The 20,154-nt window shown below is 37.9% G+C and overlaps 1 protein-coding gene and 1 pseudogene across 4 annotated transcripts in view; one reads left to right on the forward strand and one right to left on the reverse strand.

Annotated features, from left to right (window-relative positions):
- Positions 1 to 721, reverse strand: part of TRPC6 (transient receptor potential cation channel subfamily C member 6) — a 132,444-nt gene extending 131,723 nt beyond the window's left edge. For 3 of the 4 annotated variants that reach the window (NM_001439335.1, NM_004621.6, XM_047427510.1), the window contains exon 1: positions 48 to 721. In NM_001439335.1, the coding sequence (NP_001426264.1) occupies positions 48 to 217 (170 nt within the window). In that variant the 5' untranslated portion in view covers positions 218 to 721. The remainder of the gene's footprint in view (positions 1 to 47) is intronic. The other variant, XM_047427509.1, reaches the window with a different exon arrangement.
- KIAA1191P2 (KIAA1191 pseudogene 2) lies at positions 10,791 to 11,645 on the forward strand (annotated as a pseudogene).

Genomic DNA, 20,154 nt, shown 5'->3' on the forward strand with positions numbered 1-20,154 from the left:
CCTCCGCGCAGCCCGCGCCCGATCCGCCCCGCGTCGCCGGCACTCACAAGCAGGGGTAGTAGCCGTAGCAAGGCAGCGGGGCTTGCGGGCAGCCGTCTTCTCCCAGCTCCGAGTCCATGAGCAGATAGTCCTGGCTCTCGTTGCGCCGCGCAGCGGCTCCGGCAGCGCCCCGGGGAGAACTGCCCCTCCGGGGCCCGAACGCCGGGCTCTGGCTCATGGCGGGAACGCCCGACTGGCCTGGGCCCCGCTCCCGGGGGAGCCGAGTGGGCAGTTCCAGCGGGGACCCGGTGCGGAGGGTTCGCGTCAGCGGCCGAACTGGACCTGGGCAGACCGGTGCCCAGGGGACGACGGTGAAGCAGGGGGTGCAGACGCCCGCCGCAAGTGGCTCGCCCACTGGCCCGGGGAAAAGTCACCACTTAAGGGGGTGCAAAGAGGATCTTGACCTGAGCAGGTCAGGCCGAGGAGACCCCGCGAGGATGCGTCTGGGGCGCCCGGGCAGAGAGGGCACAGGCGGGGCCGCTGGTGGTAGCGAAGCGTAAGAGCGGAGAGCAAGGGAGACGGAGCTGAAGAGTTACTATGTCAACAGAGACTCTCCAGCCCTCAGCTCCCGCCTTCATCCCCCGCACTCTCCGTCAAGATCCCCACCTTTAAAGGGATCCGAGCGACGTTCTAGAAAGCAGCCAAAGCCTGTCCTGTAGCCACAACTTTCAGGAGGCGGTATGAGCCTGAACTAGGAGGAGCCAGGCACGCACTCTTTTTTTCCCCTCCACTATTTAGTTGGCTCATTTAGTAAGGATACCAACTGCGGACTTCGTAGGAAGCTTCCTTTAAGAACCACTCTCAAAGAGCCAAGGAAACCTGTTCCTTAAAAGGGACACGAGCCTCTTCTTTCTCCAGACTGCCTTCATTTTCTTTGGTCATTTTCTCTCTTACCCTCAACTCATAAAGTTATTATGACTCTGCTTTAAAAATGAACAACGTTCTATGTTCCAAACGCCAGATGTTCCCAGTTCCTGAGAAAACCAACAAAAATAGGCAAGCATTTTCCAATGATACCGATAAAGAGGCCAACAACCTGCTTACTTCAGAGAAAAAATTTTCCTTCCGTCACTGCGAATGCAAGAATGATTTCTCTGCCAGATGTTTCCCACGTTTCCAAGCTGTTTTATTTTTAAGACTTAGTTTTAAATTCTGATTAATATGCATACGTGTGAGAAGTAAAAACTTGTCAACAAGGATGAATCAGTATTTGTAGACCTTTAAGCAGTAGTAGCCAATTAAGAATCCATTCATTAAGTCAACAAATATTTAATGAATGCCAACTGCGTTTCAAATCATTTCAGAATTCGGAGGCAAAGAAGCAGATGAGGCACCTGTCTGCCCTCATAGAGCTTTCGTGGCAGAAAGGGGGACCAATTAAATAAGCAAATGAAAAAATATCAAGGACAAATGCTACAATGAAAATAAAACAGGTTGATGTGATGGCAGCTGGTGAATGACTACTTCAGATGAGATGGTTAAAAGAGGCCCCTCCAAGGAGGTGCTCGTTAAGTTGAGACATGCATGGCAAGCAGCCAGCCATGAAAAGATCAGAGGCCCATTGCAATTGGATGAAAGAAAGCCAGACTGAAATCTGTCTGCAAAGGTGCCTTTGCTTCCCATGAACAGGTGGACAACAAAATGAATGTTGGAAGTGTGGGAAAATGCAATTGATTTGATAGAAGGGAAAAGAGCTCACACATTTAGAAACTTCTGAGTTTGCCTTTAAATTTAGAACTGAAACTCAGAGAGAGCAGAAACCACTGTGTCCTGAGGATCCAGCTTCGTATTTGACACAGGTGTGTAGGGTGCATGCATGCATGCTTGGGTGGGTGAGTGGGTGGGTGGGTGGATGGATGGATGGATGGACGGATGGATGGATGGATGGATGGAAGGAATATAGAAAAAATAAGAAAATGCTCTTGGCCCTGGAAAGAACATTTTCCCTGGGGAAACAAACAACCTGCATCATTCTGAAGTCTGTTCTTTCTGATTTAACAGCCTTCCTTTTTGATCTTTCAACATGTGGAGCCATGATTTAAAATTCTTATAATTTTCTAGTTACTATACCTAGCAATAAGATATTCTTCCTAAAATTTGTTTGTGGCAACTGCTATCTGTAAGTATTCATTAGCTTTGATGCTTGAATGAATTAATCAATAAACGTTTAGTTAAACAGTGCCAAGGTAATCTCTTTGGCAACACCAAGTATGGGGAAAACATTCATGGGAAAAGTAATATTCAAAGGTTTTCTACCCAATTCAAATTCTGTGAGTTAAAGCCAAATTAATAAACATTTGTAGTGTCAGTTGAAGTGTTAACCTTTCACATAAAAAGAAAAAAAACAAAAACTGAGACAGAATTTATTTTGCTGTTGTTACACTGTTTTTCATTCACAGGTAACAACCTTCACACTGAAAAAATTACTACAGTAAACTTATTCTGACATCAATTTATCATGTGGTAAGACATGTTTTCCTCTGTTTTTTTTTTTTTTTTTGAATTATTGTGAGTACTAGAACAACAAGCCCAGTCATTTATTGAGTACCCAGAAGGAATAAGGTGGTGTACAAATGTTAGAAGATTCTGAAAGAGCTTATGACATGATGAAGTGGAATCATTAGATCAGAAGTCTCAAAGCCTGGATTTTTATTTCGGCCACTTCCCTAACTGAAGTTACATGATTTCAGAGAGGTCATTAAATCTCTCTCTGCCTCAGTTTTTTCATCAGTAAGCTGGTATACAATTACGCCTCAATCTCTAACTTCCCACATTATATAGTTATCTATGCAGTTTTATCACTTTACATTAAAAACATGGTGAAACCAATTTTTAAAAAGACAAAATACGATTAAATAATATAATTTTTGAATCAACTATGGAAGTATTGAGTAGATCTGGAGTCATGAAGAAAGCTGAGTGAACAAAGAAACAATAGTTTTTAAAGTTAAAAAATTGTTGGGTGAGCACAGGACTGATAGTTCTCACAGAGTTGGAAATTGCTATGCAATTATAGGTTATGTATGTTTATGTAGTATGTTCATGCTATTGAAATAAAAAAACACTCAGTCATTAATTCTGAGATGTGAGGATGAAGGTGAGTTATGTGTCTCTGTGGGCAGAGGAAGAGATGTTAATGAGAGAGGACCTTTGCCTCATTATATATATCTGCACTGTTTGATTATTAGTTTGATTTTACAAAAACAGATATTTTACATATATACATGTGTGTAATATATATAATGTGTATATATATTATACATATAATATATATATAACACAGTGTTTTGAAAAGCTGATAGGAGAAAAATGAGTAAAGAAAAATGGTTGTCCTCTAGAACAGTGGTCCCCAACTTTTTTGGCACCAGGGACTAGTTTCGTGGAAGACAATTTTTCCACGGACCTGTGGGGTGGGATGGATGGTTTGGAGACTATTTAAGTACATTAAATTTATTGTGCACTTTATTTCTATTATAATTACATTGTTTTATATATAATGAAATAATTATACAACTTACCATAATGTAGACTTGATAGGATCCCTGAGCTTGTTTTCCTGCAACTAGATGGTCCCATCTGGGGGTGATGGGAGACAGTGACAGATCATCAGGCATTAGATTCTTACAAGGAGCACACAACCTAGATTGCTCACATGCACAGTTCACAATAGGGTTCATGCTCCTAGGAGAATCTCATGCCTCCGCTGATCTCACAGGAGGCAAAGCTCAGGCGGTAACGCAAGTGATGGGAAAAAGCTGTAAATACTAAATACAGGTGAAGCTTCGCTGGCTTGCCCACTGCTCACCTCCTGCTGTGTGGCCCAGATCCTAATAGGCCACAGATGGATAGCAGTCCATAGCCTGGGGGTTGGGAACCGCTGCTCTAGGAAGTCTCAGGCAAGGAGCCCAAAGGGAAAGGAAAAGAAATTGCCACTAGAAGCAAAAGGTTGAGAAAACATTAAATGCTTAATAACTCAAGAAGCTCAAAAGTTACACAAAGCTGCAGTTTGTGAGTTGCTGTTGCTGATGGAAAACCACTAACATAGGAGTCTCTCTGGAAAATGCAGTTTGGGGTTGGTTGGCCAGAAGTACAGATAAAAGTTTAGTCGTGATTTCATCTGGATATTTTAAAGCATGGAAACCCTGAGCCCTGACTCCTATCACATGTAGAATCAACCGGGTGAAAACAGAAACACTTCAGAAGCTTCAGAGGGGCTGCTGATTCTCTATGAATGAAAGTGCCCTGCAAACTCCAGTTTGAGTAAAATCTGAGCAGGTGCTGCTATATCTTTGAACCTCAATTTCTTAATTTTTAAAATAAAGGGGTTATAATACTTTACATTTAGTATCTGTCTTGCAGCTAAAATGTTATTAACCATCAGAAACAAATAGAAGAATCTACAGATTGCTAATTTCATTTTTGCTCTAATTTGAGCTTGACATAGATGTTGTCCAAAATTCTAACATTATCATATGGTTATTTTGTAAGCACTTGTGATTAATATGGTTTCACTTAGAGAACAAGTTATGTTAATATCTCTTTTGATGGAATTATTGGGACATTTTTAGTAAACTGTTTACCAAGAGCATCGTGTGATATGTTTGACAGCACGATTGAAAAATAAGAACTGGGTAACAAAGGAGTGATTCATAAATAGTTAGAAGACGATTGAAAAGATTGTTGATTTATACATCAATGTCACCCAAGTTTAGTAAATGAAGACATACCAAGAATGGACTGAGCTGCTTTTGGTTTTTTGTTTTGGCTTGTTTTTGCTGGTTTTTGTTTTGTTTTGTTTTTGTTTTTGTTTTCTTTCACTGGACATGTTCAAATACAACCTGGACCTCAATTTTCCACGTATACTACAAGGAAAATTAATATACTTATGGAAAATTAAGTGAACACTAAGATCCTGTAAGAAAAAATCTAAAATTCAAAAACTAATCATCATCTCCATGGATCCAAAAAGTTAATAAAATATCTATTCTTCATTTTTTAAAAGGAAATAAGAAAAAGCTTAGAAAACTAAGAGTAACAGACACATTTTTAACATGGCAGAGAAAACTATTTTAGATAAAAACAACATGGAGAAACACCAGAGATGTTTCCATTAATTTAAGAAATCAAAGATGTTTGTCATTATCATTACTATTTTTCATAGCTAAGAACTTCAACAATAAGTAAAATAAAACATAAAAAATAAGATGAAAAAGTTTGAAATGAGGACATAAATCTATTACTTCACAGGCTATATAATAGTCTACTATAAAAAATTCAAGATTTTTAGCTAAAAATAGTTAGATTCAGAAGTAAGAAATGTGTTTGGTACAATGCCAGATAATAAAAGTAAATATTAAAAATTCAGTAGTTTTCCTTTATATCAGCAATAGCCAAAATATAATAAAAGCTATAAAATATAATATAAGCAGAAATATATTTAACAGAGAATTGTAAAACCTATGAAAAGAAAATTATAAATCTTCACTAAGACCTAATTGAAAAATAATCAGAGGTCTGTATCAAATTATATAACACATTTTATTGATAGTTTCATTATACTTGTATTAAATTTACAGATTTAGTTAGAATGTAGTAGTTTCAATACTTATGTCTTCCTATAGAAGGACAGGTTTTTCTCTACTATTTATTTTTTCACATTTCTAAAAATAAATATCTAAAAGAAAGAAAAATCCAAAAAAAGAAAAGCAATGAAAGAAACTTGGTGTAAAAAATATCGAATGATTTAAAGAAACCACAAAAATAATATAAATTGGTACACACAAACTAGAAATATGTAAAGAATTTAATGGAAAGAATAAAGGATACAAAAGATTTTATGGTATGATAAAGAGCACATCTTAAGTCAATGGGAGATGTGAAGGAATGTGGAATAAATCAAACTGGATAAGAGATTTCTATCTTGTACTTTTGCCACAAATGGTATGCGTTAATAAGTCAAATGTAATTAAAGAAGTTGTAAAACCTACTAAACAAAGATAATCAACACGTTTAAGAAGATCGCGCCACTGCACTCCAGCCTGGGCAACAGAGTGAGACTGTCTCAAAAAAAAAGAAAAGAAAAGAAAAGATTAATATCAAGTATCTTTCTTGGCCACAATGGCATGAAACTAGAAATAAATAACAGGAAGGAGACTGGAAAATTCACAAGTATTTGGAAATTTTAAAACATGCTTCTGAACAACCAATGGATCACAGAAGAAATCAAAGGGAAAATAAAAAAATATATTGAGACAAATGATATATAAACACAACTTACTAAATTATGGGAAGCAGCAAAGCAGTTCTAAGAGAAAAGTTTGTAGCAATAAACACCTACATTAAAAAAGAAGAAAACCCTCCAATAAACAACCTAACATCATTTCTCAAAAAAAAAAAAAAAAAAAAACTAGAAAAAAAAGAACAATCTAAGTCCAGAGCTAGTAGAAGGAGGAAATAACAAAGATCAAAGAAAAAATAAATAAAATAGAGACTTAGAAAGCAATATGAAAGAGCAACAAAATTAAAAGGGGATCTTTGAAAAGATAAAATTGATAAACCTTTATCTAGGCTAATAAAAAATGAAAGAAGACTCTAAAATGAGAAACGAAAAGGGAGACATTACAACTTATACAGAAATACAAAGAACCTTAGAAGACTATTACAAATAACTATACACCAACAAATTGGATAGTTTAGAAGAAATAAATTCCTAGAAACTTACCATCAGCCAAGACTAAACTATGAAGAAATAGCATATCTGAACAGACCAATCACAAGTAGGAAGATTGAATCAGTAATCAAAAATATTTTTCAAAGAAAAGCCCAGGACCTGATGTCTTCACTGGTGAATTCTACCAAACATTTAAAGAAGAATTAGTACCAATCTTTCTCAAATTACTTCAAAAAACTGAAGCAGGCGAAATACTTCTAAGCTCATTTTATGAGTCTGACATTACCCTGATTCCAAAGCCAGACAAAGGCATTACAAGAAAAGAAAGTTATAATATCCTCAATGACATTGATGCAAAAATCCTCAGCAACATGCTAGCAAACTGAATTCAACAATACATTAAAAGGATGGTACACCATGATCAAGTGGCATTTTTCCCTGGAATGTGGGATGGTTCAACATGTGCAAATCCATAAACATGATATACCACATTAACAGAATAAGGCACAAAACCCACCTGATCTCAATAGTTAAAGAAAAAGCAGTTTACAAATCTCAACATCCTTTCATGATAAAAACCCTTAACAAACTAGATATAGAAGCAATGTACATCACACAATACAGGCTATATATGACAGGCCCACAACTAATATCATATTGAGTGGTAAAAAGTTGAAATCTTTTCCTCTAAATCAGGAGCAAGACAAGGATGTCCACTCTTCCTGCTTCTATTCAATATAGTATAATGGAAATTCTAGCCGGAGCAATTAGGCAAGAGAAAGAAATAAAAAGCATACAAATTAGAAAGGAAAAAGTTAAATTGTTCCTGTTTGTAGATGACATAATCTTATAGTTAGAAAATATTAATGACTCCACCAAAAAAAACCACTTAAACCTAATAAACAATACAGTAAAGTTGCAGGATACAAAATCAACATACAATAGTCAATTGCATTTATATTAAAAAAACAAACTATCCAAAAAATGAAATCAAGAAAACAATCCCATTTACAATAGTTAAAAAAAAAACTTAGGAATAAATTTAACAAAGAAGGCAAAAGACTTTGACACTGAAAACTATAAAACACTGAAGAATGAAAGTAAAGAAGACATGGATAAATGGAAAGATACTTCATGTTCAGGGATTAGAAGAATTAATATTGTTAAAATGTTTATACTCCCCCAAAGTTATCTACAGATTCTCTCCATCAAAATTCCAGTGACATTTTCCCAGAAATAAAAAGAATTCTAAAGCATTCATGGAACCACAAAAATCCCTGTGATGGTTAACTTTGGACTTGACTTGATTAAGGCATACTCAGATAGCAGGTAAGGCGTTATTCTTAATGTTTCAGAAGGAACTGATCCCTCTTTTGCTAAAAGGGAAGTCCAGGTAGTTGTGGTTTTGATTAGATGATCGGGCTATCCTAGGTGTGTCTGTGTGGATGTTTCCAGAAGAGATTAGCATGTGAGTTGGTGGTCTGAGTGGGGAAGATCCACCCTCGATGTGAGTGGGCATCATCCAATCAGTTTTGGGCCCTAATGGAGCAAAGGCAGAGTAAGGGAGAATTCTCACTTTCCCTCCCTGAGACAGGACACCTTCTTCTCCTGCCCTTGGATGTCAGAACTCCAGGTGGTCTGGTCTTTGAACTCCAGGACTCATACCAGTAGCCCTCAGGCTCTCCAGCAATCAGGATTGAAAATCACACCACAGCTTTGTTGGTTCTGCAGTTTGGACTTGGACTGAGACACATTACTCTCTTTCCCGGTTCTCCCACTTGATAAAGATGGTCTGCAAGATTTCTCAACTTCCAAAATAAAGTGAGCCAATTCTAATAAATCCTTTTTCATATATCTCTCTATAAATTATATTGGCTCTGTCTCTTTGGAGACAGAAACAACCCCAAATAGTCAAAGCAATCCTGAAGAAAAAGAACAAAACTAGAGGTATCACACTACCTGATCTCAAAATCTGCTATAAAACTATAGTAATCAACACAGCATGGTACTGACATAAAAACAGACACCCAGACCAATGGAACAGAATAGACAGCACAGAAATAATAATAATAATATATATAATATAATAAGAGTAATAATCTGTGAAGAATAAATATATATACACAAATATGTATAAATACATAAAATTCATATTCATGAATGCATGGTTAGTGAATGAAAACTTTTTTCTTTTTCTGCCATTCATTCATTATCCGTGGATTCATGGACAGATATTTGATTGAAGTGGTTATTATCCATTATCATCATAATTTATTTTGCTGCTCAAATGATTCTAGATTTGGCACTTTTGATCAGCCTCTGAAAATCCCTCCATATCAGTTTATAGAGATCCTCTTCAATCTTTTTTTAAATTGATGTATTGTTGTATAAATCCATTGTGTAAATCAAGGATTTACAAATTAAGGCCCACAGGCAAAATCTGACCCACCATTTGTTTTTGTAAATGATCTTTGATTGATGTGCCATGCACAATTGTTTGTATGTTTTTTTATGTCTGCTTTTGGATTACGACCACAGAGTTCAGTAATTGAAATAGAGACTGTGTGGGCCAAAAATTCCTCCCTCGTTTTTAAGAAAATTTTGCTGTCCCTTAGTGAAAATTAATCATAATTTGTTCAAACAATAACCAATGTGTGGATATTGAAACTGTACTCAATATTTTTAACTATTAATAATGCCATAATGAATAGTCTTGTGCATGTGTGTTTTCATATTATTGGAGATTGATATGGTTTTGCTGTGTCCCCACCCACATCTTATCTTGAATTGTAGCTCCCATAATTCCCACATGTCACGGGAGGGACCTGGTTGGAGGTAATTGAATCATGGGGGAGGGTCTTTCCTGTGCTGTTCTCATGATAGTGAGTAAGGCTCACAAGACCTGATGGTTTTATAAAGGGGGAGTTCCCCTGCACACGCTCGCTCTTGCCTGCCTCCATGCAAGATGTGGCTTTGCTCCTCTTTTGCCTTCTCCTATGATTGTGATTCCCACACATGTGGAACTGTGAGTCCATTAAACTTCTTTCTTCATAAATTACCCAGTATGTCTTTATTAGCAGTGTGAGATCAGACTAATACAGAGGTACATCTCTAGTATGAATTCCTAGAAGTGGAATTGATGGCTCAAAAGCAAGCACAGAGTTACTTGAATCTGAAAACCTGTGCCTAACTAAACTTGGATAAAAATTTTGGTGATTATAAGTTCAAATATCTTATTCTGGCCCAATCTCTTGTCTCTTTCTCAGACTCCTAATAAACACATGTGTGTTATTTGTTTAGTTTATTTCAGTGTTATTTTTCTGGTTCTTCTTTGTATTATATATTTTCTATTGGTCCATCTTTAAATTCTCTGTTCTTTTCCTCTGCCATCTCAATTCTTCTAAGATGATGAAATAAATTTTTAAATTTCAGATATTACATCCAAAATTTGGGATACTTTTTTATACATAAAGGATAAGATAATAAAGAATAAGGATAAATAAAAGCATATCTATTCTTTATTTCTATATATATGCAAGCTATATCTTCCTTTACTTTAGATATTTTCTATTAATATTTTCTTTTATTTCATTGCACATAGTTATAACAACTCCTTTAAAGCCCTTATCTACTACTTCCAACAACTGCATCACCTTTGTTCATTATCTTTTCCTTTAACAATAGGTCGCACTGGGGCAGTGTTGTCTGGTGGGTACTGGAGACCTTCCGTGTCACTGCTGCTCTCACCATGGCTTGGATCCAGACTGCACCACAGCCTCTCAGGAGACGTGGGCCCTCGGAACCTCTTTAGTGCCAGATTCCAGGCTGCAGGCAGCCCCTTGGCAGTAGGATAACAGAACCTCTGGATGGATACTTCCTGAGAAGTTTTGCTAATTTGCAGCAGCTGGACCGTGTTTCTCATTAACATCTGTCTGTCAGTTTAGTCATCACATCATTTCACTGTGGTGGCAGGGACTCAGCTCAGAATTCTAGATAGAAAAAGCACCTGGATCCCAGTTTTTCAATGGCTTCAAGACAACCAGAAGTGCCTGCTCTTGAGGCTAGTGGGCCTCTAGGCAAGATGTTCCTGCCCACCAGGATATACCGTTGGGCATCCAGCTACGATGATGCCCTCAAGGACCCTGCGCCCATGACTCTTCCTCCACTGGACATGAGCAGTGTCCCCTAGAAGCCAGTGATTCCAGAGCACAATATCAGTGCATCACCAAGGTGGAGGAAGATGAGGCCAGCCTACCCTCCCCAGCCATGACCCTGTCATCGGCCATTGACAGTGTGGACAAGGTCCCAGTGGTGAAGGCTAAGCTACACATGTCATCATGAATTATCGGATCACAAAACAGACCCAGGAAAGTATTCAGCATTTTGGGTGACAGGCAGGGCTGAGAGATGCTGGCTACACACCCCACAGGGGCCTCACCACCGAGGAGACCAAGTACCTTCCAGTGGCAGGAGCACTCCACAAACTAAAGCTACAGAGTAGAGAGATAACAAAAGAATAGAGGCAGCCTGCATCAGCCCGGTCACCCCAAGCTCCACTCCTCATTCTTCCCCTAAGCAGAAGCCCAGAGGCTGGCTCACTTCTGGTTCTTCCACAGCTTTACCTGGCCCAAATCCTAGCACCATGGATTCTGAAAGTGGGGATAAAGACAGAAACTTGTCAGGTAAGTGGAGCCTCTTTGGACCAAGATGCCTTCAGAAGTTTGATTCTGGAAGTTTTGCCACCCAGGCCTACCAAGGAGCCTAGAAGCCTTCTCCAATGGAATTGATCCATGCCCAGGCCAGCTGAATGGCTGAAGATCCAGTAACCTTGAAGCTGCCCAAGATGAACATCCTAGTGATGGAAGGGAAGAAACAGCCACCATGGACCCATAAGCTCAAACCACCTGACTTGAATGTGCTCACACCCACTGGCTTCTAGAGCCCTTTCTATTCTAGGGACTCTACCTTGGCTGTGACATAGGAAGGTTACATTTTTCAAAACCTGTTAAATTGAGACTAGCACTGGAGACATAATTGGTGTTTGAGAAACATTAGTACAAAGCTTGCCCTTGTTGTGTGCAAAAAGCCATTTTGTACTGCTTTAAAGTTGGACTAAATAATCTCAGCAGTGATGTATGGGGGATCTCATTACCTATTTTTTCATCATTTACCCTAGATAAGAACTTCGATCATTGCTTACTAGGTAAAGAATGTTTGTGCTGTTCTGAAACCCAGACTTCTTGATTCCTTTACCACTATCCATGTGAGCATTGACAAATCATGGCATAGAGGGGTTCACTGACTCGTTGAGAGGACTCTGACCCTCTTGACTGCTGGTGCTGTGCCCCAGCCTTGTCAGTTAGGGGCCCCAAGATATGTTTAGAACCTGGGTACAGATAAAAGCCAGACTTGGCATGGACCCCTCTTTCTAGGCTGAACCTTGAGTCCCCCTGCTTTTTGGTAGACCTCATGGATCACTGTCCTGCAGCCAGTTCTTCATGTGGGGCCTCTTAGGCCAGTGCTGAGGGAGGCATGCTTCTCTTTCTATTCCGCAGAACAAACCCTAGTCTGGCAAAGCCTTTCTTGAGCTTTAAAGTGAGATTAATTTAATTCCAATTTGGTTGAAGACTTCCTAAGAGAGAAAAATTCAGTCTACTGAATTGGCATAGGTAAATGGATGTTAAACTTTTTTAAAGTAACGTAAAGTAAGATGGTAGGTACAGTTAGATTACAGTCTTGAGGCTCATGTGAAACCAGTGTTACCTTATTTTGATATCCTTGTTCAAGTCAGGGCCTGAAATATCTGCACCTGGAGGTGAAAGAATTCAAAATTTTTTGTACGAAAGCATTTTTCACCAAAATAAGCCTCATTCCTTTATGCAACACATAACTCTTTCTTTCTCTCTGTCTCTGTCTCTGAGGAAAAGAAATAGGGAAACTGCCTTTTTGTTTCTCCTCGCTGTGTACAAGTTCAGTCATTGTCTTGAACACTGTCTCAAACACCCACTTTTGTTTTGGATAGTATCTCATCCGCATAAGAAGTTGACCTTTCCATAGAGAGGCCTGGAATCTAGAATTATCAGAACAATTAATTTATTTGCATCTTCTATTATGATCTCTTATTAAACAATAAAAATTCTTACTACTTTCTCAAAAAAAAAAATAGGTCACATTTCCCTAGTTATTTTTATTTATTTATTTTTTTTTCTGAGATGGAGTTTCGCTCTTGTTGCCCAGGCTGGAGTGCAATGGCACCATCTCGGCTCACCACAACCTCCGCCTCCTGGGTTCAAGCGATTCTCCTGCCTCAGCCTCCCTAGTAGCTGGGATTACAGGCATGTGCCACCATGCCCAGCTAATTTTGTATTTTTAGTAGAGATAGGGTTTCTCCACCTAGTTCTTTGTCAATTAATAAAAATGAGACCCTGTCATTTGCAGCAACATAAAACTGGAGGTCATTGTGTTAAGTGAAATAAGCCAGGCACAGAAAGACAAACTTCCCATGTTCTCACTCATTTGTGGAAGCCAAAAATTAAAACAATTGAATTCATGGAGCTAGAGAGTAGAATAGTGGTTCTAGAGGCTGGGAAGGGTAGTGGGCATGGAGGGGGGATGGTTAATGGCTACAAAAATATAGTTAGATAGAATGAATAAGATCTAGTATTTGATAGCACAACAGGGTGACTACAGTCAACAATAAATAAAATGTAATTTACTGTACATTTTAAAATAATTAAAACAGTATAATTGGATTGTTTGTAACACAAAGAAAGGATAAATGCTTGAGGCAATGGTTATTCCATTTACCCTAATGTGATTACTGTGCATTGTATGTCTGAATAAAAATATTTAATGTATACCATAAATATATACACCTACTATGTACCCACAAAAATTTAAAAAACATATATGAGATATATATATATATGATTGTAACCTGAGCAAAGTGAACATAAGGTTTTGAAGACTCTGGAAAAGTCTTATGTTTTTATTTGGAAGGCAATTCATTTGATCAAACTTAAGTTGCAAACTATTTCTTTGGGGTGGCCGCTCAAGACAGTTCTTTTATTTTTGGTTGTGCTACTTTGAATCTACACCCATGTATGCTTAGTTCCATCCAGACTTGCCCAGAGTTGTTTACATAATTTGAAAATCACCCCCATTCTGGCTCTCTTCTTTTCGGAATCTTCCCTGACTTCCCAGCAGCTGAGACTGCCCTGAATTTTGTCCTCTTGTCTACATGCCATAAAGGTTATGAGTTTTCTTTTTTTTTTTTTGAGACAGAGTCTCGCTCTGTCGCCCAGACTGGAGTGCAGTGGTGCAATCTCGGCTCACTGCAAGCTCCGCCTCCTGGGTTCACACCATTCTGCTGCCTCCCAAGTAGCTGGGACTACAGGCGCCTGCCACCACGCCCGGCTAATTTTTTTTGTATTTTTAGTTGAGACAGGTTTCACCGTGTTAGCCAGGATGGTCTCGATCTCCTGACCTCGTGATCCACCCGCCTCGGCCTCCCAAAGTGCTGGGATTACAGGTGTGAGCCACCGCACCCGGCCAGGTTATGAGTTTTCTACTGATGATTTGGTGGCAGTTTTGGCCTGTCCTTCCATAAAAGTCAAAAAAAGAGAAATGTACTTCAAATGAGACTCTTCTTTCAAGTTTTCACTCCCCTCAAGAATTATCCTGCTTTCATTCATTCTCAAGTGCCTTTGTGTATTTTTTTTTTGCTTTTTTCCCAGAATTAATAGCTGTTACATATGGCAGGTGTGAGTCTTGAAGAAACTTAATTTACCATATAGAAGCTGACACATAGTTTAACCACTGAAAACTGAAGGCCATGAGATAATCTTGAAAGAAGCTAGTAGAAACATAAAATATACAAAGGTGAACAACAATTCAATTAGCCAATGATTTCTCTCTAAAGTACCAGAACGTAGTGATGTAACTTCTTCAAATCTCATCTAACTAATCTGAATTTTGAGTCATAGTTAAATTTCCTTTCCCTACAGCCAAGGTGTAAGAGATGATACAATTTCCAGAGCTTATATGGCTTCATTTTTATATCTATATACCTGATTCATTTTGAAATTTATTCTTATGTATGGTGTGAGTTATGGATTCAATTTTGTCTTCTTCCAAATGACTATCCACTTACCCCAATAGCATTTATTAAAAACTTCACCTTTGTCCTGGTGTTCTTAGGTACCATCTTTTTCACATATTAAATTTCCACATGTACTTGGGTCTACTACTAGACTTGGTTTTCTGTTTCATTTATATGTTTTTTCACTTGTGAGTTCTACATTGTTATAATTGTAGAGGATTTATAATATATTTTAATATACTGTAAGACTAGTCTGTTAGTGTTTCTTTTCTGTATATTCCTAGCTATTCTTGTATACTTATTTTTTCAGATGAATTTTAGTATCAATATTCCTGACACTAGAAAAAGTGCCTGGTGGTATTTTTATTGGGATCACATCTTTGTGGGTTCAGTCATTGTATCCAAATACAAGGGATGTCCTTTTTATTTGCTGAAATCTATGTCTTCATCTTTCAGAACTGTTTTAGTTTTATTCACACAGTTTTTGTATATTTCTTGTTAAGCACATTTTTTAACTTTTAAAATTTTTATCACTCTACTTAAATATAGTTTTATTTTTCATTATGTTACATACATAGTTATTTTTATTTACATTAAGGTCACTGATTTCTCTATGTTAATTTCATATCCTGTTACCCTACCAAGTTCTTTGTTTCAGTTACTTCTGTCATTGATTATTCAGTTTTCTAAGAGTACCATCATACCATTTGCAACTAGAAACATTTTTTCTACACTTTTCAAATTCTTACGAGTCTAGTTGTTTTCTTTTGTCTAATTGCATTGGTTAATACCACCAGTGTAATGCAAAATAGTAGTGTAGTATAGATAATATATTTTGTATTAGTAAAATTGATAAACCTATTGCAAGCTTACCAAGAAGAGAAAAAAAACAAAAAAGCAATTTTAGAATTGCAAAATAGAATGTCACTGTACATCTTAGAGGTAGGTGTACAGTTCCATTAGGAAATAATGGAAAGATATTATAAACAAAGTTATACGCAAATGAAAGCTGAAAAGTTCCTAGAAAAATACATCTTATCAAAACTAACACAAGGAGAAACAAGAAATCTTTCTAGTTCCTGATTAAAAGAGTGAATCAGTGTTTAAAACTGTCTCATAAAGAAAACAATGTGAAATAGCTTCACTCACTAGTTCTACTAAACATTTTAAGAGGCGACGAATGCAATCTTACACCAACTTAGCCACAGACTAATAAAAGGGGTAATACTTGCCAATGATTTTTATGAGAACAGCATAGCCTTAATATCAAAGCAGACTAGAAAATGTAAGAAAAGAAAATTACAAGCCAGTTTCACTCATTACCATGCACTACATAAATACCTAAAAATTATGCACTTCATGAACAAATTGATTTTATCTTAGGAACATAAGGGGAATTTAATATTAAAAAAATCAAACAAGTTATTTGTTACATTGATTTCATAAAGGAAAAAACTCAAAAGATCATTGGTCTCATAATTCCTACTTTTGATGTTTATTCCTTAGAATAAGTGGGAATGTGGATAAAGATGTTCTGAGTCCCAGTTTTTCACCCATTTCTCTATGTTCTTTGCCATGGGACTTTGCAATTTTTCCTTTTAAAGATGGGAGTCGATTTTCTCACCCTTGACTCTGAGTTTGGCCGTATAACTTGCTTGGCTGCGGTATTAGCAGATGTGGACCCTGCAGAAACTTGCAAACATGGTGGTTCTGCATTTCCACTTGTTTCTTGCTGTTTCTCAAACAGGCAGAGAGTGCTTCTGCCTTAGGGCCTTAGTTGTGTGTGCTCCCTCTATCTGGAATGATCCTCCCTGTGGTTATCAGCACACTTCACTTCTTGCCTTCATTCTTGTCTCTGCTTATTGCTACCTCATCAGAGGAGCCTTCTCAGAATATATAAGCTAAATAATGTATCCTAGAAAAAGAAGTACAGGGCATCACTACCCTGTTTTCCAGTTTTCTTTTTTGCACTCATTACATATAGAATGTTCATGTATTAATTGGCCATCTTCCATGATTGGATTATGAGATCCACCAGTGCAGGAACCTTTTCTATTTTACCATTGAATTCTTAGTGCCTAGAAGAGTGCATAGCAAATCAGCATTCGAGAATTATTTGCCATATCAAGACTATGCCTTGGGTCTTACTGACTAAATCGATCTTTATTAATTTAGCAAAATGTAAGGCACCAGAACCTCACGCATGCTGGGGGTGGAGGTGATAAACTGAGGTGGGAGTTAGAAATTGCTGAAAGATGGAATAGTTACTCAATACTTTGAGAGTTCTTAACGTGATAGAAATATTAGAAATATATTGCCCTTGACATTGTTCTTTCCAGCAATTCCATACACTGAGAAAATCACAAACTGAACCTTCATAAAAAGCCACATGAAGGAACCAAGATGATAGATATACTTTGGAGAACATGAAGGAACTTTAAAGGAAGAACTTGAAAGATATAATGAGTAAGAAACATAAACATGGATAAAGCATTAATGAATGATGATCACAGTGTGCAAGGAAGAAAATGAAGGAAGTATCTTGACTTGAATAAAACATATATATAATATATATATACATATGAAAAAAAAAACACAAGGACTCGGGTACTCAATATAAAGTGACCTATGAAACCCAGAAGTTAAAGAGATGAAAATGTATAAAACTAATTTTCTCCTTTTATAACCAAAATATTTAGGTGTTGAGAACGTGGTTGTTTGCATACTTGAATGTGTTATCAATAATCAGGCAGATAATAAAGGATTTGTGGCTATAATATAGAAAAATAATTTGTAACAAAATGCAATTGAAGAGAGAAATAACAGATGCTCAACAAAAGCTGAATTCTGAGAATTACTTTCAAGGAAGTGACCCAATATGTACAGCAGTCTTGTCGGTCTTGTTCATACCACATAGATGCTTTCATAGCATTAATAGAATTAACTAGATGTTTCAGAAGAAAAAAAAAACCCAACTATGTACAACAGAAGAAATAGCCTGCCTAACGGAGCCTAAATTAGTCTAATCTATTTTTAGTCTGTGATTCTGCCCTAGTAGGCCCTCGAGAATTGGAGGGAAATATGGATAGAAAAAATTTGTTTTTTCCCAGCTTAATGACACTGAGATAGTCCTGAAATACATTTAAAAAGGCTTTATGTTCCAAAGATAACTCAGCTTCTGTCAGTCATAGAGAAAATAGGTGGGAAGTTTATTTTTATAACACATTTCCTCCAGTGGCCCTCTCCAGGGTAACTGCTTTGCCATACCACAGGCAATGGAAATAGAGAGGGGTATCAACTCTGTGAGTAAATTAAACATATGTAAGTTACACGATGAATGTAGTAGAAACAACTCTTTTTATTAATTTTGTTTTTCTGAATATTTCTGATCTCCCTCTCAAATCTAAGTCTAGATTATTCTCGGTCCAACATTTCTTCTTTAATATCTTTAAAAAAATGTACTGAGTTCTACTTGGTGCTTGGCACTGTTGGAGGCACCAAGAATACAATGGTGAAAATTTATATGGCACCAACTCTAAAACCCTATCTGCTTTTTGTCTTGAGGGCAGAATGGATGCGCTGTGATAGCACCTACGATAAGGATAAACACAATGGTATGGAGGTGCTTGGGTTAGAGACTTACTTTGTTTTGAGCATCGGAAGAGATATCACAGCATCTGACATCAACAGACTGATATCCCTAGGAGTTAGGGGAGAAGGTGGTCATGTTCCAGGAAGAGGGAATAACCTGAATGTGAAAGGCAGCATGGAAGATTCAGGGATGCTGCAAACTTCATGATGGGAACACAAAATTGAAACAGGAAGTGGAGTGAGAAGAGGCTACCTCACTCCTAAGGGAAATCTAAGTTCTCTTTTCAAAGTATCTCCCTTCTCTTCTTAAAAATTATTGTCTCTTCAGTGAAAGAGAACTGACCTAACCAATTCCACCTTGCTTCTAGCTTCCAAGATGTCCTTGTTTGTTCCTGGGCATAGGCTGAACTAACTTTGGGAGGAACTTTATAGTTTGAATCAAATATGATAACAGCCCTTTCTCAAAACAAACCCCCTTCTCGCCTAGGGACTAGATTGCCTTTGCAGAACCAACAAATTAGTCAAAAGATGAGAAATTATGGTTTAGGAGTCATGCAGCTGGAGGGTACAAGATTCTGACACTCCCCAAATTGCTCCTGGGGATAAAATCACTATTGTAAAACCTAAGCCCAGTGCTTGAGATATTTTGCAGACCCTGCACTCGATGGATCAGCTGGCACCACTTAGAGTGATAAACTGGCTCATTTGATCTTGGGGCCCTCACCCAGGAACTGACTCTGTAAAAAGACAGCTTCAACTCCCTGAGTTCAGCTCTGACCTGACCAATCAGCACTCCTAGCCCACTGGCTTACCCCCCCCACCAAGCTGTCCTTGAAAACTCTCATCCCCAAATGCTCAGGTAGACTGATTTGAGCAAAAATCTCTGGTCGCACACACACACACACACACACACACACACACACACACACACATAAATTATTGTCCCTTTTTTTAATATTGTTGAGACTCAAAATCTCCCTTTCTAACTTTCTTCCTCACACCCTCCTATGTGAAGTTTGATTCCATTCACTCTGTTTACCCTAAGATCTTAGCAGTCTTTTAAAAACTAGGAAAATTTGTTTTCCACAAAATTGACACTCCATCCCACCCTCTCATCTCCTGCCATTTAGCTTAACCTGAGGATAACAGATCCTCACACTGCCTTCCCTTCTCAAATACAGAAGATAACAGAGCATGCCTGCAAATGTATTCTCAAGATTTCCCTGGCTCAGCAGCAAAGAAGGAAGCATTTCAATGTGTGTGTGTGTGTATGTATAGCAAGGAGAACTCGAAGGACGTCAGATGTGAGATTAAGCCAAACTGGAGTCCTGAATTATTCTGCTGATATTCCTACATAATGTTCTTCTAATCTAGGGTGCATTTCCTAAAGATTGCTCTGTCCCCCACACTATTTAACAAAGTCTCTGGATGGGGAATGAATGATGCATTTCTCACAGCCGAGGCAGCTACTGTGTGGGTGGGAATTCACAGTCTGGAAGTCTGAAGGAAGATTTACACTCTCAGAGAAACATGGCGCAAAGAACATGTTAGCATGGCTAAATTCCAGAAGCTAACCATAAGGAAATTCTTGTGTAGGGCCTTAACTTTTGGTGTGGTTTTCTCAAGGATGATAGAGATTATTTCATGAAGCATACAGGGTGAAAACTATGGTGGCCAAGGGGCCACCAAGCACACACCATATCATTGCTTTGTTAAGCTGGTCATTTCACCCCTATGTGAGGATAATGTGGGG

The sequence above is a fragment of the Homo sapiens genome, chromosome 11 (genome assembly GCF_000001405.40).
Source record: "Homo sapiens chromosome 11, GRCh38.p14 Primary Assembly".
Taxonomy (NCBI): domain Eukaryota; kingdom Metazoa; phylum Chordata; class Mammalia; order Primates; family Hominidae; genus Homo; species Homo sapiens.